The 21,656-nt window shown below is 42.8% G+C and overlaps 1 protein-coding gene across 3 annotated transcripts in view; it reads right to left on the minus strand.

Moving 5' to 3' along the window:
* Positions 1-21,656, minus strand: part of KCNK10 (potassium two pore domain channel subfamily K member 10) — a 146,805-nt gene that overhangs the window by 55,413 nt on the left and 69,736 nt on the right. For all 3 annotated transcript variants that reach the window (NM_021161.5, NM_138317.3, NM_138318.3), the window contains exon 3: positions 5,183-5,300. In NM_021161.5, coding sequence (NP_066984.1) covers positions 5,183-5,300 — 118 coding nt within the window. The remainder of the gene's footprint in view (positions 1-5,182; positions 5,301-21,656) is intronic.

Here is a 21,656-nt window from a genome sequence, read left to right on the forward strand (position 1 = left end):
TGAAATGTGAGCTATGAAATTCAGGAAAGAAACAGGAAAAGGAAAAAATTCCCTATTGATCACAAAAACAAAAAATAAAATTGGAAGGAGCTCATGGCAGCACAGGCATTGTGGAAAACATACAAACTAAAGGAATAGGGAGAATAAAATTAACAAAATGAAAACTAGATTTTAAGAGTTAAAAAGTAGAAGAGAAATGAGAGACATAGAAGATGAGCAAAGAAGTTACAATATATGTATAGCTGTAATCTCCCAAAGAACAAAACCAAAACCACACAGCAAAGAAAATGTTTAAAGATGTCAATCAAGAAAACTTTAATGCAATAAAAGAGTCAAAACCTAGTAATGTTATCAGATGAAAGAGAAATAATATTTTAAGTCACTGAACAAAAAGATAAAGTCACCTATAAAAGTGGGGAAAAAAAGGCTGGCATCAGGTTTCCCCCAACAGCTGCATAAAAACTGGGAAACAGAAGAGCAACACCTGTGAGACCAGTTAAAAAGAAAATGTAAAGCCAGGCGTGGTGGCTCACACATGTAATCCTAGCACTCTGGGAGGCCAAGGTAGGAGGATCCTTTGAGGCCAGGAGTCTGAGACCAGTCTGGGCAACACAGCAAGACCTGGCTTCTACAAAATATTTTAAAAATTAGCTAGCCCTGGTGGTATGCGCCTGTAGTCCCAGCTACTCAGGAGGCTGAAGCCAAAAGATCACTTGGGCCCAGGAGTTGGAGACTGCAGTGAGCTATGTTCATACCACTGTACTCCAGCCTGGACAACAGAGCAAGACCCAGTCTCAAAAAAAAAAAAAGAAAAAGAAAATGTGAGTCAATAAAATGGATTTCATTTTGTTTCAACTATCCTTCAAATGTTAAGCTACAACTGTGAACAATGCAAGATCTCACAGAATATTGCTCCCCTGAGCCATTCTTAAGGCAACTACTTGAAGATGACTTTCAGCCAAGTAAGTGATCATGAGATAAACCACAGCAAAAGGACTAGAGATGAACATTAATGATATCTAACTATAGAGCTACGACTAAAACAAATGCAAATATCAGGGTAACAAATTAAAATCTAAATTACATACCCTGAGGTTATACAGGCATACGTCAGAGACATTGTGAGTTAGACTTCAGACCACCACAATAAAATGAGTCACACATTTTCTTTTTTGTTTCCCAGTGCATATAAAAGTTATGTTTACACTCTACTACAGTCTATTGAGTGTACAATAGCATTAGGTCTAAAAAATGTATATATACTCCTTAACTTGAAAATACTTTATTACCAAAAATTCTAATAATAATCTGAGTTTTCAACAAGTCATAATGCTTTCGCTGGCGGAGGGTCTTCCTTTGATGTTGATGACTACTGACTGATCAGGGCGGTGACTGTTGAAGGCTGGGGTGGCTGTGACAATTTCTTGAAATAAGACAACAAAGAAGTTGGCCACATCCATTGACTCTTCCTTTCACAATTTCTCTGTAACATGCAATGCTGTTAGATAGCATTTTACCTACAGTAGAACTTTTTTCAAATTGGAATCAATCTTCTCAAACCCTGCCACTGCTTTATCAACTAAGTTGATATAATATTCTGAATTCTTTGTTGTCATTTCAACAATGTTCACAGCATCTTTACCAGGCAGGAGCAGATTCCATCTCAAGAAATCACTTTCTTTGTTCATCCATAAGAAGAAGCTCCTAATTCATTCAAGTTTTATCATGAGATGCAGCATTTCAGTCACATCTTCACACTCTACTTCTAATTCCAACACATCAGCAGTGGCATCCTCTAGTGAAGTCTTGAAGCTCTCAAAGTCATCCATGAGCCTTGGAATCAACTTCTTCCAAACTCTTGTTAATGTTGGTATTTTGACCTCTTCCAATTCATCACAAATGTTCTTAATGGCATCTACAATGATGACTCCTTTCCAGAAGATGTTCAAATCACTTTGCTCAGACTCATCAGAGGAATCATTATGTATGGCAGCTACAGCCTTATGAAATGTATTTCTTAAATAATAAGAGTTCAAAGTCAAAATTACTCCATCCATGGGCTGAAGAATGGATGTGGTATTAGCAAGCATGAAAACAACATTTATCTCCTTGCACCTTTCCATCAGAGCTCTCGGGTGACTAGGTGCATTGTCAGTGAACAGAACTATTTTGAAAGGAATCTTTTTTCTGAGTAGTAGATCTCAACAGTGAGGTTAAACTCTTCAGTAAACCATGCTGTAAACAGATGTGCTGTCATCCAGGCTTTGAAGTTCCATTTATAGAAGGCAAGCAGAATCCTTAAGGGCCTTAGGATTTTCTGGATGGTAAATGAGCACTGGCTTCAACATAAAGTCACCAGCTGCATAGCCCCTAACAAAAGAGTCAGCCTATCATTTGAAGCTTTGAAGCCAGGCATTGACTTCTCTTCTGTAACTATGAAAGTCCTAGATGGCATCTTGTAATATAAGGCTGTTTTGTCTATAATGAAAATCTGTTGTTTAGTGTAGCCACTTTCTTAGCTAGACCTTCTGGATAATTTGCTGTAGCTTCTCCACTAGCACTTGCCACTTTAACCTGCACTTTTATGTTATCAAAAGGTCTTCTTACCTTAAATGTCATAAACCAACCTCTGCTAGCTTCAAACTTTTCTTCTGAAGCCTCCTTACCTCTCTTAGCCTTTATAGAACTGAAAAGAGCCCGCTTGCTCTGAATTAGATTTTGGCTTAAGGGAATGTTGTGGCTGGTTTGATCTTCTATCCAGACCACTACAATTTTCTCCATATCAGCAATAAGGCTGGTTCACTTTCTTATCATTCATGTGCTCACTCACTGGAGTATCACTTTTAATTTCTTTCAGGAATTTTTCCTGGCCAGGAACAGTGGCTCATGCCTGTAATTCCAGCACTTTGGGAGGCCAAGGTGGGTGGATCACTTGGGCCCAGAAGTTCAAGACCAGCCTGGGTAACATAGTGAAACCCCATCTCTAGAAAAAAATGTTTAAAAAATTAGCCAGGAATGGTGATGCACACTAGTAGTCTGAGCTACTTAGGGGGCTGAGGTGGGAGGATCCCTTGAGCCCAGGAATCAAGGCTGCAGTGAACCATGATCACACCACTGCACTCCTGCGTGGGTGACACAGAGAGATCCTGTCTCAAAAAAAATAAAACACAAAATTTCCTTTGCACTCACAACTTTGCTAACTGTTTGGCAGAAGAGACTTAGCTGTTGGCCTGTTTCAGAGTTCAAAATGCCTTCCTCACCAATCTTAATTATTTCTAGATTTACATTTAAAATGAGAGACATGCAACTGACTCTTCCTTTCACTTGAACACTGAGAAGCCACTGCAGGGTTATTAATTGGCCAAATTTCAATACCATTGTGCCTCAGGGATCTGGGATGCCTGAATGGCCAGCTGGTGGAACAGTCAGAACACACGGCATTTATTGATTAGGTTCACCATCTTCAAAGGGCATGGTTGGTGGCACCCCAAAACAATGACAATCATGACATCAAAGATCACTGACCACAGATCTCCTTAACAGATATAATCAAAAATGAAAAAGGTTGAAACTATTGTGAAAATTACCAAAATGTGGCAGAGACACAGAGTGGAGCACACGACGTTGGAAAAATGGCACCAATAGACTTGTTCAATGCGGGATTGCCATACACCTTAAATTTGTTTAAAAAAAAAAAACTCAACATCTTCAAAGCACAATAAAGCAAAGCACAATAAAGTGAGATACAACTTATATAGAATGACACCATGAATAAGAGTGGATAGTGGAAGAGGGAAAGGAAATTGAGATGCTAAGTTCACTGACTGCCTTATATGTAATAGCTGAGTGCCAAGAGTTATCATTTAAAGCTGGCAAATCATATAAGAGAAACATAAGCAAATTTAATCATTTAAAAGATGATGTCCACCAAAACTTTGTGTTGGAAAAAGAGAGAAAAGAGATATCATCACCCGTTATAGGGATCGAATACATGCTGGTTAACGAATAGAACACTAAAATTATTATATGCCATTATACTTATAAAGTTAACCCCTAGGCCAGGTGCGGTGGCTCACGCCGGTAATCCCAACACTTTGGGAGGCTGAGGCGGGCAGATCACCTGAGGTCAGGAGTTTGAGACCAGCCTGGCCAATGTGGTGAAACCCCATCTCTACTAAAAATACAAAAATTAGCTAGGCATGGTGGTGGGCGCCTGTAATCCCAGCTACTCAGGAGAATGAGGCAAGAGAATCACTTGAACCCGTGAGGCGGAGGTTGCAGTGAGCCGAGATTGCACCACTGCACTCCAGCCTGGGTGATAAGAGTGAAACTCCATCTCAAAAAATAAAATAAAATAAAATAAAATAAAATAAAATAAAATAAATAAATAAATAAAGTTAACCCCTAAGACAAAAATACAAAACTCACCAAGTGTCAGAAAAAAAAGACACACATACAAAAAATAAGACAAAGACTGATACAGGAAAGAGGTCATCACTGTTCACTCTATGATCAGCTGCAGAAAGCATTTATCTAGTCAAAATCATGCAGATGTTTCACTTCTATCTAATTAAATATTGGGAAGACAGGAGGACAGGAAAAGAGCCCTTCTGTGATGAGGCAGGCAGGAAGAAGGAACTAACTCCTCATCTTCCACAATGGAAAGTCAAAAAAAATCCCCAAAACTGAAAATTCCAGAAGTAGCACAAGCATGATATTTAAAGACATGGGGATGAGTGTTAAAATCAACAATCAAAACAGATGAAAGCAACAGTCTCTGGGAAGGTAAGAAAAGGTGAGACGGTCAGAATGTTACTGTTTTTTATAAAAAATTTTGTAGAATATTTTGGTTCCTTACTATATAACTTTAATAAGAAGTACAATTTTTAAAATGGAAGTTGAGCTCAAATGAGTAACCCGAGTTCAACCGACCAACTCATATTTTCCATTCTAACCTTTTCATTAGGTTTGCTAGCCTTTCATTCTGGAAAAAGAGATACTTCATTATGCTTTGGCTTTTGTTGAAAGCCACCACAATGACTGCATTAATTTAAACGACAGTGTTTCGTAAGCCTCCTCTGAACCTCAAACTATAGTGTATGCTATGAGGACAAAACACTGACTAAGCGCCCTTACTCAAGATGACCTGCAGAGGAAGAGATATTAGCAAACAAACGGGTACCTATGGTCGTAATGACAGTTCCAGCAAAGAAAAAGGCACTGCCGAGGTCCCAGTGGCTGCTGTTGTTGGAAGAGTTTCCTATTGGACTGACTCCCGCATTGTCAGCATCAAGAGCATGCTGCAAAGAAAGGGAAAAAGCATAAGACTCAGTTTAAAAGTTGTTTATTTTTTTTTTCTTCAAAAAAAAAAAAGGTTCCAATACATTATTCCCCTACTCAAGAACCTGCAGTGATCTAGAGAGAACTGGTTAAGTGGATGATGGTAGCATCCCAAAGCAAAATACTATGCACCCAGTTGTGAAAATCAGAAAATTAGTGTTAAATAGGGGGGAAACGCTAGGGTATAGAATATGGTGACATTTATAGAAAGCTTGCAGGCATGGGGTGGCCCAGATTATGCAAAATGTTACAAGTTTCTGTGCATATACACACACAAAAAATGTCTAGAAGAATGTTCACCCAAAGTGGGCATTTCCGCAAGGCAGGATTTTGGTTGCTTTTTCACTCTTTTCTGTCTTGTAAGAATGTTTTACGTTGAGCTTGTTTCCACAGGGCAGGAGTTAAGAGCCATCCTGGCTGTGGCCGTTATTAACTTCAGAACCTTGGGCAAGTTGTTTGAACCTCTCTGAGCCTAGTTTCCTCATTTGCAAACTAGAGATAATACCTTCCCCACAGGGTTGTTGTGAGGATTAAATGAGATGGTCCAAGTAACACCCTTAGCCAAATGTCTGGCTCCCAGTTAGGGTTTACCAAACAGTAGCCAATTTCATGATTGTCATTCCACTCTCCCCCACCCCCACACCACACACACACACATCGCTCTTTTTAAAAATAAGCTACAATGACTCCTTGATGATAACTGAATTGGAATTCCATACACCTTAAAATTTCCAACAAACTGGCCACAATGATGACCCATTTTCATCTCACACTGCTATAAATTCCCCACTCTGGGCAGGACACTCCATGACATGTTCCCTGTACTTATGTACCTGTGCCCTCCCACAAACGGTGCCCATCCTTCTGGGTCTAATTCAAGCCCTGCTTCTTCCAGGAGACTTAGTCTATGCATCACTGCTTCACAGTTGCCCCCTTCCCCGAGTTCATACTTCGGCAACAATTAAAGATACGCTAAAAATCCCTCCCTAGCCTCATCACGAGCAGGAGAAGGTGAAAAAACTCCGTAGCAGTTCTTCCTGAGCTGGCCCCTGCCATCTTCTTTCAAGCCAGGGAAAAAGGTAGGACGTGCTGTCATGGCAGCCGAAACACATGCTGTTCACACGGGTGAACTGGGATAAAAAAGCGACAGGTGGAAGCCTTGGAGAGGAGGTGACAGACACAGGAGCTACTTCTAGAACAACAAACAGACTCTCTGTTCCTTGGGCAAACCTGGAATAACCCTATGTAGGGAGAGCAAGACACAAATATTGAAACGTAATTACATTTATCCTAAGTAATGCCCATTAAGCTTTGTTAAAACAGGCATACAGTGGTTGTCACAAATCAGATTACAACTGGAAAAGTCAATCATCATTACATTTTGCCTTCTTTCATCTGAGTTATTTCAAACACTCTGAACCAGGGATCAACAACTTTTTCCATAAAGGGTCAGATAGTAAATATTTTAGCCCTGGTGGGCCACATATGGTTCTCTGTTGTATATTTTTCTTTTTTTAAATAATCTTTTAAATATGCAAAAACCATTTTCAGCTCAGGGGTTGTACAAAAAGATGCTGCGAGCTAGATTTGGCAGACTCATAGACAATTGACTGGATGATACAGGGGAAAAAAGCACCTTCTGTCAAGTCGTGAGTCTATTCTTTTCTGCCTCTAAGAGAACATGGAATATTATGCAAGACCGCAGCCGGCCACTGTTTCTAGCAAAACCTGGCACCCTAGAATTTAAAATCTGGCTGCATGGGATGTGTACAGACTGTCTTTGCATAAATCAGCCTAATTGACAGTGGTCACATAATCATCAGAGGTATGTTCTGCTCTGCTCTAGAGGGCAGACAGATGGTGAGTCCTTTCCACCGGTAGCATCTCCATTTTCACTGTGCCGTATGAGTACCATCAGACCAAGCCACAAAGCCTTCACCAGTGTTTATATCTTCATTATCAATTCAGCTCTGATGAGCCCACTTGGAAATAATACCGCAGGGAGGGCTCTAGGCTTCAGTCACTTAGGTTGCCTCAAATCATACCATCAGTACCTAATATTTACAACTCCTATCAAGCTGTGAAGAGAGGTTAGGCTCACTCAAGTCTCACGGTGCTGAGAATTGCACACAAATGTCATAAGCAAACCCAGCACTGCAAACAAAAACACAGATTTGCACAAAAGACAATGGGGACGATGATTTGTTTCATCAAAAAATCTGAAGAATCCTTTTCAAGTTTCATTTTTCTTGAATTATGCAATTCATAAATATTTAATGTTTACCTATGTAACCCTCAAGGAAAGTGTTTATCAGTTGAAAGGAAAAGGGAACTAACAGTTGTTAAGTGCCTGCCTTTCGCCAGGTGCACTAGAAGCGTCATTCTGTTTTATCCTTTCTACAACTTGTGTGTGATTCCATTCTATCCTTTCCATAACTTGCAAGAAAGTAGTATTATCCCCCACCTTAGAGATGGGGAAACAGGCTCAGGAAACTTAATTAACTTGTCCTAGGTCACCCAGCCAGGAAGTGAAGAGGCCAGGATTCAACCCTGTCTGGCCCAAAGCGGATGGTTTTGCCTTTCCTCTACCTTTGGTACCTAGAATGCATGTTGCCTCCCCTACTCCCATCTTCACCTCCAGACAGATGAGGAAGGAGGATAGCCATTGTCCCAGAATTTAGGCAGAAGAGACCTCACGAGAGATCATTTCTAATTAGACTACTTCCTTGAACATGCAAATGGAGACACCAAACTTCACTTGGCTGTTGAAGCTGATTAGAGATGAGTCGCTCTGTGTTAAAATAAAATTAAAGAATAAATTAATTAAAGTAGGAAAAGGTTGATTTTTATACCCTAAGAGGGAAGGATCAGAGAAAAGGGAAAAGCCCTGAAAAAGGAGGACAAGAAGAAATAAAGCGACAAAAAGGGGTGTCAACTGACAGGTGGGAAATTCAGGCTCCGTAGCGGCAATGCCCAAGTCTTTGAAGAGCAACTCCATCTAGTATCCAATTTCAGCTGGGTTCTATCTGTGACGTCAATTCCTCTCTCCCTGCCAAATCTTCAGTAAAATGGCCAATGCACCCAAATGCCCTGGGGAAGCAGTTTTGTGGAAATTATACATAAGGCTTGTTATGGGCAAAGTAGGGCCACTGATGATCTGAACTAACTCCTTGAGAGCAAGACTCAATGAAAAGGAGAAAAATAAGCTCTCCCACGAGTCACCAAATTTCTGACAAGGCTTTAGAAAGCCCCAATGCTGAGAATGAGGTTTGATTTTCTATCTGGATCTTATGACTCTGAAAAACTCTGGCAAACAACCAGAATTCAAATGAATCAGCAAACTCGGGTTATAACTGACGTTACCATTTGAATTGGCAACATCATTTTTAACTCAATAATAATAATTCTAATTGAGTTTACAGTTCTAATTTTTATTAATTTTCGAAGTATTTTCAAATGATCTTAATTGTTTGAGCTCAAGTAAAACATTTTAAAATTAAATGCATTTGCTTTTAAGATTTTTCTCAGCCGGGCACGGTGGCTCATGCCTGTAATCCCAGCACTTTGGGAGGCCAAGGCAGGTGGATCACAAGGTCAGGAGTTTGAGGCCATCCTGCCTAACATGGTGAAACCCCATCTCTACTAAAAATACAAAAATATTAGCCAGGCGTGGTGGCGGGCGCTGTAGTCCCAGCTACTCGGGAGGCTGAGGCAGGAGAATGGCGTGAACCTGGGAGGTGGAGCTTGCAGTGAGCCGAGATCGCGCTACTGCACTCCAGCCTGGGCAACAGAGTGAGACTCTGTCTCAAAAAAAAAAAGAAAAAATTACCTGCATTCAGGCTGCAGAAGTGAATGGAGGGCAGCCCATTAGAATGTATGAGCACACAGATGATGAAATGGCACAACTGAGCTCGGAACAGTTTAGCTCAAAAGATGTTACAGGGTAGAGGTTCAACCAATGTTATTTAATAATTTCAGACTCAGTGAGCATCATTTGTTCACTTACAAGTTCAACCATTATCAAGTTCAGAGAGATCTTACAAGGATCAAAAAATTCACACAGGCAGATAATTCAATAGAGGTAGACAGATAATTAGATACGAGGGGATACTGTAGATAAGAGGGCATTACTTTACATTTTAATTCCATTCCTCCTTGAATTTCCTTTTTAGCCTCTAAGCTGGCATTTCCAGCACCCACTCAGCTACCCAGTAAATGGCACGGGAGTGAATGTTTTAAGTTAACAATAAATAAATGAACAAACTAAACTAATAAATTTAGATATATTATCTTCCCAGAGGTGTGAGAGGAAAACATTTTACTTCTTTCTAAAATTAGACAAACACAAAAGCAACTCAACAAAAACAACAAAATAATAATGATTTGTTTCTTTTAAAAAGAGGTGGAGAGCTGACTTGAAAGAGGGCAGGATCTAAAAGATTCTGTGCCCCTCTTTCTCCCTTGTCCTCCCTCCCCCACACCATGCATTAGGACTACCTGACAGGCAGAAGAGAGAAACTGCAACCTCTCACAAAGTGAGGCGGGTCTGTAGCTGATGCGCTTAGAAAGAGAGGAGGAGGAGGTAACTGGACCCCTCACAGGACCCCCCACCACGTTTTCCCCACCAGTTTCCTCCCATCAGGCAACGCCAGCTACATGAATCACTGCTCCAGACAGCGTGCGATACCATCATGAGCGTTAGTGCTGCACTGGGATGAATGATGACCCACAGGGGACCACTAACTGTCTGTGGCTTTTCTCCTATGATCTGTGCACTCGGTGAGATCATCTGTTTCTCTGTTTCCTTATGTGCCACCAAAAAGAAAGACAAACAAAGGTGCAGCAGTAATCTCTTGGTTGTCTCAGATTGGCTGAAGAATACAACAGATTCGTGCTTTATGCATGGACGCTAATAGCTGGATGACCAGTTGATCTATTGTCCAAAGCAGGGAACTTGCAAATAAAAAGGTAGCTCTGTTAACAGCTATGCTGGGACCACAGGACAGGTGCAACCCAGGATGTATGGTCATTTTACTAACAGACTGTTTGTCTCTCGAGAAAGGACTTCATCTGAGGGTACAATGGTGGCTGCGTCCACCACGTTCTTACTCCCTGAACGGCACAGTCAGCAAAGGGATTATGAATTGGAGATTTAGCCAGGGATTGAGGCAGGATGAGGGCATGAATGTGGAAAGTGGTTTCTAAAATGTATTAAAAGTGAGCCTATTTTTAGTAGAGACGGGGTTTCACCGTGTTAGCCAGGATGGTGGCGGGCGCCTGTAGTCCCAGCTACTCGGGAGGCTGAGGCAGGAGAATGGCATGAACCAGGGAGGCTGAGCTTGCGGTGAGCCCAGATCGCGCCACTGCACTCCAGCCTGGGGGACAGAGCGAGACTCCGTCTCAGAAAAAAAAAAAAAAAAAAAAAAAGGGAGCCTATTCCAGCCATTAGCAGTTGGGAGGAAAGCCACAAACTCTGTGAGAAAGGCAACTGGCAGACCACATTCATTACTACTCAAAAATGCCCCTAATGATTCAAAACCCCAGCAGCAGGGCAGCAACATCTCTCCACCTCCTCACACATTTATGGCCGAAGAGCCTCGGGTTTGAAGTGGAAAGACAATATTTAATTTGCTTGCCACAATTACTTTTTCTTTCACCTGCTTCAGAAGTATTTCACATATAAATATTCCACAGCCACACAAGTGAATCTTCCAAGGGCAAGGTGAGTTCACAATATTTCAAACAACCATGGGAGGGTCTCAGAGAGGATTTCTGGGGCCACACCCAGTGAGGCACTTTTGTGGCTGATTCAGAGATGTCTTGGATTCAGTGCAGAGGAAGACAGTGGGAGCACCTCATACATTACTCTTGCAACAGGGAAAGTTCTTGGATAAAGCGGTAACCATTCAGCCTTGCAAGCTGTTCAGCTTCTCTGAACCTTGATTTCCTCATCTATAAAATGAGGACTAATACCTTCCATACAAGGTTGTTGTCAGAGTTGTCTAAAAATGAACATAAGACTTCAGGCACTGTGCCTTGTCATTTCTTATTCAGGAGTATTAGTAACAGGAACCCTTTCGGAGCACTTCCTAGAGTACAGATTAACTCAGCCCTGGTGAGGACCTAGTACAGTGGGCAACACTGCTGCCCCCAAGGGACTCATGACACTGAGAATGGTAAAGTGCTGTGTGTACAGTACACATCTGGTGCGCAGCAAAGCTAGCAAACAATGCTCTTAGAATTGTCAACAGGAAGTTCACCATCCTGAACTCTGCAAAGGCGCTTCTCTCTACTTTGAGTTCTTTTTTCTCTATCTCAGACGCACAGCTTCCCACATCTGGGAAGGGCAGGCTGGCTCACACCCAGCCTGGGACACCCAGCTACCTGCAATAGGACGAAGGGAAGAGAATGCAGGCTGACGCACGTGTGCCTTTACCTCCCACCCAGACACAGCCAATATGGCAGTCAAGCCTGGGCTGACCTGAGTGGACACACCCCAATCAAGTGGCCTTCCTAACTGCCACACCACCTCAGAGTCCCTCATAAAAAGCAGACCAGACCATAAAAAGGTAAAGAAAGAGGCACCTTCAGTGCTGTGGTGGATATTACAATGACGTGTATTTTCCTACTGCCCTAAGTACCCAGTTATGTGCAAATATTAGCCTTTCCTCAGGTCCTCAGGGAGCCAGGCAGCAAGTTTTCATTAGAACTTTACAGCCTAGTTATAAATCTAAAGTGAAGGCCACTGGCAGAAAGGACAGGGCAAGTGGAGAATCTGTTTGGAGAAGAGGAGAGAGAAACCCAGGATGGGCTAGCATGCTTGCTCATGGCGTATGGTCTTAGACACGCTAGCTTTCCTTGCTACTACAAGTTAATCCCTTACAATGGGGATTTCTGAGACTCAATTCATTAGCCCCTTGGGTATTCACTAACGACTAATCTATCTAAATATTATCTTATGAGACCAGGCCATATTTGGGGGCACTCTTGTAGCTTCCAAATTGTGCCTTATGATGGAAAATGCATTTCCTCTGTCTCTCTTTGACTACATGGAAGGATGAAATAAGACAAATTTTAAACCACGAGGAAAGTATCAAGTCCACTAAGGAATCAGGGATAGATGTGTATACTTTGATATGATCAATAAACTTTCAGACTAACAAGCTGTCACTCTTTCATCTCAGTTTGGACTTACACTCTACAGGCAGAATAACAAATTTGCCAACTGATGTTGAAAAATTGCCCTGGTCCTGAGGAGAGTGTCTGATATATGCCTTGCTCTCTCTGCACTTGAGATCATTCCCATTAAAAATGGGTCTATCCAATTTCTATTTTTAAAAAACTGTACTGGACTACAAAAGCAGCTACAAGAATTCTGATTCATTACACTGTGCACTAAATGGAAGGTTACTATTCCTTCCATTGCCATTGCATTGAACAGAGCCTGAAATTTAATATTTAGATGATTAATAACATCATGAAAAAGAGAGGCTTCTGCTATCTTGCTTTTATTGTAGCTATTTACCTTAGGGCTCTTTGTTGCTTTTGAGTGATCAATATTAATCACAAATTAAGATTTCATTTCCAGCTGGGCATGGTAGTTCATGCCAATAATCCCCATACTTTGGGAGGCTGAGACAGGAGGATTGCTTGAGCGCAGGAGTTCAAGGCCAGCCTGGGCAACATGGCAAAATCCCATCTCTACAAAAAATACAAAAATTACACAGGTATGGTGGTGCATGCCTGTAGTCCTAGCCACTCGGGAGGTTCAGGTGGGAGGATCGTTGGAGCCCAGGAAGCAGAGGCTGCAGTAAGCCATGATCGTGCTACTTTACTCCAGCCTCCACAGAGCAAGACTGCCCTTTACAGAACAAGATTCTGTGCCAAAAAAAAAAAAAATCATTTTCTGTGCCTCCTTAAGAATGAGTCACCAAATCTCCCTGAGCATAGTTTGATAAGGGGAGAAACAAGGAAGTGCAGACAATGCTAGAAACTTCAGGGAAAGTTCTAGAATACTCCTAAAATTAATCATAGCTGCCAGCACTTGCAATGTGGCAGACTCCGCCTTATTATCCTATTTAGTCCTCACAAAATCCTGTGAGGTTATAGTAGTTAGGAAGTGTCAGAGCTGAGACTGGTTAAAAGTCCTCTCTTTTAACTCTAGCCTTCTATCTTCCACGAATAGTTCTCTGTTCACCTTCTAAACATTTTTCTAAAGCTCATCTGTCATGTCACCTTCTTCCAACTAAAAAAAAGGACAACATAGAGAAGTCATAATTTGTATGTCTCATCTCCATTTTTAAAAAAACAAAAGGTTAAACACTCACTTACTGAGGAAAGTTAAGCTGCACCAGCAGGCTTTTCATCTCTTCTGCCCATTTCCATAGAGAAGGAAGGAAAAATAAATGTTCCCAATATAAAGTGACAAGCTACTCTTAATTGCAGACCTGAATGATAACCCATGGACATTGGTTTTAGATCGAAAAGGGTGACCCAGCTTCAACACCTTATGTTAAGACACAAAGCCCTGCCACTCTAAAGGACAACCAGGAGGTAATCACGACTCACTGCAGTTGACTCACAGGTGAATGAAGGTCCTCTTGGGGGTCCCATAGGTTGAGTCAGAGACTCCTGCTCTGTGACTAAGGACCTGAGTGCTTCCTTGTCTTCTAGAACCAATCTAGTAACCAATAGCTACTGGGCTGTAACTATCCACTAGAGTAGAGCATCATGGCTAAAAACCATGGATTCTAGAGCCGGACTGCCTTGGCCGGATCACAGTTCCACCTCTCACTTCAGCTTGGGCAAGTTATTTAACTTCTCTGTTCCTCTGTTGCTTACCCCACTTCATAGGATCAATGTAAAATTTAAATGAGTTACTACACGTGAAGCATTTAGAGCAGTTCCTGTCCACAGTAAGCACCATGCCAGAATTGGCTAGCGATATAATTAATACTGAACCTCAAGCTCCCTGAGGACAGGGTGGAGGCATCTTGCATTTTTTATTGTTTTTTAATCGCTAGAGCCAAACATAGCACCTGCTTCATTATAGGTACTAAGTAAATATTAGTTATATAAATGAATACATTGTATTGTGATAAGTAATAAGAGCAATTGTAGGAACGAGACACCATCAAAATCTCATTATTCCATAATGTATACAGCCACACTCTAAAGGAGAACAAACCCATGCACATTTGGAAAAAAATGCAGTCACAGGAGCATTCACTTCTGGGTTTTGGTTTTATTTTTATGGGAGTTTTTTTAGAACATTGAATTCTCATTTGCAAATTCATTTTCCAGTGGCATGCCAATTTCCATTACCTCTTTAATTTCTGGCTTAAAAGCTTTAGATCTCCTTCACTAAACAGTGATGAAATCAATAACCCCAGGGATAGAAACAGTAATAATAATGACTCGGAGGCCTGTAGACACAGGCTGGGGGCTGCAGGCCTGATCTTGCACACATTGAAGCATCTTTTGCGTGACTGCCTTGCTGGTGAAAGGGCAGCTCTTCTAAATTCAAAGCAACAGCCAGGAGGAGTCACTTCAACTCAGAGTTGTGCCCCTGGGCTCAAAGAACCCGAACCTGCACTCTCCAGAGCTCACCTGCTGCCTGAGCTGCTACCTAAACTTCCTGGACTAAAGACTGCTTGAAATAGGGGATGGCCCAGGGCAGACAAACAGAGGGCTGCTCTAGATCTGCACTCTGAAGTCACAACAAGGATTTCCATGAACATCTCAGGTGCCGTGCTTTCCAACACGCTGCTTTCCTAAAAATTCTTATGTCCCTAAATAGGGAAATACGTAAAGCTTCGACGGCTATAGATACCAAGGGAATCTGCTCATGCATAAAGAAGACAACAAGGTGAGTTTTTGTCTTAGCTGGGTGTGGTGGCACACCCCTGTAGTCCCAGCTTCTCAGGAGGCTGAGACAGAAAAATCACTTGAATACAGGAGGCGGATCCAGAGAAGTACTATTGACAACCAGACCAAAAAGAAAAGACTTGTAAAACAGAAACAAAAGAATTTTTTGCTTTCCTTCTGTGAAAGTTCTAAATGAAGGGCTCTTGGTCTTCAAACAGATACAAAGGCTGGGCACAGTGGCTCATGCCTGTAATCCCAGCACTTTGGGAGGCCGAGGTGGGCAGATCACAAGGTCAAGAGTTCAAGACCAGCCTGGCCAATATGATGAAACCCCGTCTCTACTAAAAATACAAAAATTAGCTGGGCGTGGTGGTGCACACCTGTAGTCCCAGCTACTAGGGAGGCCGAGGCAGAAGAATCGCTTGAACCCAGGAGGTGGAGGTTGCAGTGAGCTGAGATCATGCCAAGGCACTCCAGCCTGGGAGACAGAGCAAGACTCTGTCTCAAAAAAAAAAAAAAAAAAAAAGAACAGACACAAAAAGCACCATTCCTTCATTCCTCAAGCCTTTAGCATTTTCTATTGGCCAGCCACTGTGCCAGGCAGAAGGGATATATTGATAAAAGACATAGATTCAACTTCAAAGAGCTCACAGTCATGGAAAGAGGACAGAGAAAAGTAAAGGTCATCCAAGAGAGTCTAGCAAATGGGGGGCAAATGGTGCCAAGCAGGACACGACCCAACATAAAGGGCCCATAAAGGCTTCCCCCAAGAGTTGAGTTTTGGCACCACTGAGGACAATTGAGTTCAGAACTCCAGAGCAAAACACTTAGCAGAGTGCCACAGTTGCCACTCCATAAATGTTTAGTTATTGAATTAATGAACAAATAACTTAAAACCCTTTGGGTTTATACGAAGAACCAAAATGGCAATGTACTGATTGACCAGATTATATCACTCTGCTACTGAAAACATAACTGTAAGCTTCACAGTGCTCTTAAGATAAAATTCAGAATCAGCACCTGCGTGGTTTGGCTCCTGCCTGTCTCCAGCCAAATTGCTTTCTAAGTTCCCTTTGCTAAATGCCCTTTGGCCACATTTGCTCACTTCTCTCAAGTCCTCAGCCATGGCATGTTGCTTCCTCCCATCCAGGGCCTTGACTCAGCCCTCTCTGCCTGGAATCTTTGTCCTACTAAATCAGTTCTCCTATTTGGGTGTCCCATAGCTCTAGCTCCCTCTCCTTTGCAACTTTCATCTGGCTTTTAGTTACAATTATTTGTGTAATAACATGCATAAGGTTTGGCTCTCCCACTGTCTATAAGTAGGGTCACTATATATTTTATATTTCAAACCAAGACACTTTTTTTTTAATATAGATGGGGTTTTGCCATGTTGCCCAGGCTGGTCTCAAACTCCTGAGCTCAAGTGATCCGCCTGCCTCAGCCTCCCAAAGTGCTGAGATTATAGACATGAGCCACCACGCCCAGCCCCAGGACACTTCTGAGAGAGAAAGGGGCACTATTAACAATTACTCCAGAACCACAAAACCTGGGACATTTGGTCATCCTAGTTATAAGCTCCAAGAAGGCAGGGACCATGTCTGTCTTTTATTCACCATTACATCCCAGCATCTAGCACAGTAGGCAATCAACAAGTTTGTTGAATGAAAGAATGAATAAGTGAGTGAGCAAATGAGTAAGTGAGTGAGCAAGTGAGTGACTCGGGTCTTGGCAGAAGGGCAGAGCCACAGCCTTGGGAAATGTTTATGGGTCATGCAAATTACCAAGGAGATTACCAACATCTCCTTGGTTATGGAGAGAACAGTTTGACAGTTCATAATATCTAGTCCTCTCATCTGCAGAATAGCAGCTTTGGTTGCCATGACAACATCAAAGGTTCATACCCAGGACCACAGCACAATACCCACTCCTCACATGCCGCTGCCCACATCTTAGACTAAATCTTTCTCCACTAAAACATGGTAGAGTCAGGCCCAATGCGCACAGCCAATAAAATGAGTCAGTAAGCCAGAGGCCAACAATCTGGCACCCCAGCCTTGTCATGCAGGCTCTCTGTATGTCAGAAAGGTTACAAATACAGGAAGAGGACAGGAGAGAGAGCTCTGCGTTAGAAGGCAAGCACTAACTGTCACAAAGGAGCCTGCTCATCATGTTGTTTGAGTGGGTTTTCCCTTCGTCAGGAGGAATTTGTCTTGATCCAATTATGTACTCTCTAAGCCCACCGTGTCAAGCCAAGGAGAGTACGATTAAGAGAGCGTGGCCTCTGGAGTCAGAGAGATCTAGCTAGACTCAAGTCCTGCTTTGGTCACTAGCTAGATGCAAGAACTTTACCCTCTGTAAAATGGGGCAGCAACAGTGGCCGCCTCTTGGTGCAATGGAGAGAGGCAAATGAAGCTAAGTAATATATGTAAACTCTCTAGCACCCAGCCAGCACAGAATCAGTGCCTAATAAATAATGCTGACTGGAAAGAGTCAGGGGAGCAGAGGATAGGGAAGGATTTGTTAAACAGGACATAATTACAGCAAGATAACAGGAATAAATTCTAGTGTTCTATACCACTGCAGGATGGACTACAGTTAACAATAATCTAGTATATAGTTTCAAATAGCTAAAAGGAGGATATTGAACGTTCCCAACACAAAGAAATGATAAATGTTTGAGATGATGAATATGCTAATTTCCCGGATCTGATCATCATACATTGTAGGTATGGAAACATCACGAGGTACCTCATAAATACATACAATTATTATAGGTCATTTTTAATTTTTTAATGAAAAAATAATAAATCTTGCCAAATAATACTCATCAAACACAGTACTGAGCAAAGTATCTGAAACTCTATTTGGAAAGGATTAAAAAAAAAATCCTTAGCCGGCACAGTGGCTCACACCTGTAATCCCAAAACTTCGGGAGGCTGAGGTGGGCAGATCACCTGAGGTCAGGAGTTTGAGACCAGTCTGGCCAACCTGGCAACACCCTGTCTCTACTAAAAATACAAAAATTAGCTGGGGTGGTGAAGTAGCCTGTAATCCCTGCTACTTGGGAGGCTGAGGCAGGAGAATCACTTGAATCCAGGAGGCAGAGGTTGCAGTGAGCTAAGATCTCACCATTGCACTCCAGTCTGGGCAACAGAGTGAGACGCCATCTTGGGGGCAGAGAGGGGAAGCCCATAGACGTCATAAAGTGAAAACCAATGGTAAAGTTTCTGTTCACCAACATAAAGAGTCACTGGACCAGTCAGGGTGAGGGGGAGAGAGAGAGAGAGACAAAGCAGGTGGGAAGAGACCCCCCAAAAGGCTCATGCTCCAGGCAGTTCCAGACCTAGCCCCAGCCATGCAGATGAAGGCCCCGGGACTTTCTTCAGACAGAAAAACTATCATGAACAGACAGTGACCATTTTGCATTGGAGAGACCCCTCTTGCTGGAGGCAAGGACTGAAGTGAGCCAAGGAAGAAGGCAGCCTACCAGGGAGTGAGATAACCTGCTCACTCTGAGGGGATTAGACCAACCTGCCCCCAGAAACATTCTCCAGAGAGAGAGGAATAGACCCCTGTCGTTTGCTTTATGGCAAGGCACTTAGAATGAAAAATCCCATGTCCTTCCCGATGGGTGCCTCATCCAACCCTAAACCCACTCCCGTGAAATGCTATTCCCTTCAGCGAGGCTATGACCAGAAGAAATGGCAGCCATGGGACCACTCGAGCTCCCCTGAAGACACTCAAAATCTTCAAACATCTGGGAAACATCAGAATTCATAACCTGAAAAAAGACTGCTGCCAATGATCATCCCTGCAAACCGAAGCATTCATTCTACGCTTCCCCGTCAGTCAGCGAAGGCTCCTCACGATTTTATTCTTTGAGGATCACAAAAGAGGAATGTTTTATGGCTTTCTCCAAGACTAGTCAGTATAGAAGCTTCTAAGACAATTGCACTGGGAACAGGGAGATAAGCAATTGCGGCATGTGAGGACGTCAAAGATAAAGGCTTTCTTGGGACACAGTGACCGCCAAATCAAGTTCATGGAAACCTCAACTTCAAAAATACATTTAATTTACTTTATTCTACTGCCAAAGAAATGCAAGTACTCCAGGTATAATTATCTTTGTCTACTCGGTTCGCTTGAGAGAAGAAAGACGGGTGGGAGAAGGAAATAGCATTTCCTGATGCCAGTGACATGCCAGGCACTCTGCTAGGTTCACTCACTCCCCACAATCATCCTAATGAGGACTGTGATCCCTTTAATATGAGGAGGGGCCTTAGGTTTAGTGGTGTTGAGGGACCAAGTCTATCTGATATAACGTCCATGATCATTCCCCTTCTAACACACCCTTTCTTTGAAAACACAATATTCCCCACGTGGAGTGCTATAGCACCATGCCAGACAGCCCAGTTTCTTGAATCATGTTTCCTTCTCCCTCCAGCCTTTTCCTTGGAGTAAAAGCTTTATGAAGAGGTCTACATATTAGTGAGGGGATACTCACCATTGATGCAAGTAAGCAGTATGGCACAAGGGTTCAGTTGTGTGGGCTCTGGAGTCTGGCTTCCCAGGGCTCAAATCCAAGTTTAATCACTTATTGGCTGTCTGGACTTGGACAAGTTATTTAACTTCTTGGGATTTATTTCCTCATCCATAAAATGAGATGATGATTGAACCTACTTCAGACTGGGCATGGTGCCTCAAACCTGTAATATCAGCACTTTGGGAGGCTGAGGTGGGAGGATTGCTTGAGGCCAGGAGTTTCAGACCAGCACGAGCAACACAGTGAGACCCTGTCTCTACCAAAAAAAAAAAAAAATTAAAAATTAGCTGGGTCTGGTGGTATCCACCTGTAGTCCCACAGACAGACAGTGTCCATTTCACGGTGGAGAGGCCTCTGAGGACTTCAGTAACTTGCTGGAGGCAAGCACCGAAGAGAGGCAGGGGAGAAGCCAGCCTTCCAGGGAGTGAGATAACCTGCTCACTCTGAGGGGATTGGACCAACCTACCCCCAGAAACGTTCTGAGGAGGCTGAGGCAGGAGGATTGCTTGAGCCTAGGAGTTCCAGGCTACAGTGAACCATGATTGCACCACTGCACTCCAGTGTGGGTAAGAGAGCAAGACCCTGTTTTAAAAAAAAGGAATAAAAAAAAGTACCTACTTTGTAGGCTTCTTGCAAGAGTTAAATGAGCTAGAGGATTCAAGCACTTAGAACAGAGTCTAGAGGAAAGTAAACAATCAGTAAGTGGTAGCTATATTTTATTATTACACCAGCTCTGCAGGAAGTTACCCATTTACAATCATCTGCACACTCCCTCACATCTCAGGGGTAAGATTCTAGAGACGGATGCATCTTTTGTGTCCTCTATGTGCTGAACTGCTGAGCCCCAGCTCGGGTTAAGCGGCTTGCCCTAGGACATCAAACTTGGTCCTAGTGGAATTCGGATTAGCATCTTGTCTCTTTGTTCAGAAGGGTCCTTATTAAAGGGGCCTGGCCCTTCCTCTAGAAGATCCACATACCTCATTAGGGTTTAACTGCAGTCAGGCATTGGGGATATAAGCCCTTTCACTCGGTCACACCTTGGAATCTGTGGTCACTCCACTGGTCAGGTGACCTGCTGCTTTGAGGCCGCCTGAGCCCACCGGGTCCCTCAGGTTCTCTGAAACTGTGCCTCAAACCAGAGAAGCAGCGGGGAGAGAGATCAGTGGAGCCGGCCCTAGTGTCTACTTAATAAATGTGAGACTGACAGTCTCCAGTAAGACGAAGGATAAAGATGACATTCTAGATGCCCACAGTAAACCCTCTCAATGGAATAGCAACTTGCTGTGCTGATTCCCTGAGCTCAAGCCACAAAGACAGAGCATCATGGTGTGAGCAGCCCAGCCTAGCACTCTGGGAGCGACTTCTGTGATGGGCACTCTGCACTTGAACAGTAGAAATAAAATTTTTCTATGAGAAAATCCAGAGTTTGAAGCCCAAGAGTCATTTCAGACACCTTCTTCTCTTTTCCCTCAGCAGAACTCCACGATGCGCATCAGTTAGGAGTTTTCTGGTTTCTTTTTTTCTTCCTTCCCTAACAAATAAGCAGCAGCAATAACAAGAGCTCAAAGTTACTGAGCTTCTTTTGTTTAATCCTCAGACCACCATAGTGTCTAACAGGTAGACACCGTGATCGCAATCTCCATTTCACAGAAGAGCAGTGAGGCCGGGGCAACATGATATTTGCCCAATTCACTCAGCTCATTAAGTGGTATAGGATTTAACGTGGGGAGATTAACCCCCGAGTCCTGGGGGCTACAGGCCATGCAGGGATATGCAGCACATAGCAGAAATCTTTGCTGAGTCAGGTTTGAGTAATTTTCAAGTTTTCTCTGTCAACTTTCTTAAATATAGCCTTTTCTCTATCTCTCAGCATCCCTCACCTGTGATGTTGCAACATTCTAACTGG

The sequence above is a fragment of the Homo sapiens genome, chromosome 14 (genome assembly GCF_000001405.40).
Source record: "Homo sapiens chromosome 14, GRCh38.p14 Primary Assembly".
Classification (NCBI taxonomy): domain Eukaryota; kingdom Metazoa; phylum Chordata; class Mammalia; order Primates; family Hominidae; genus Homo; species Homo sapiens.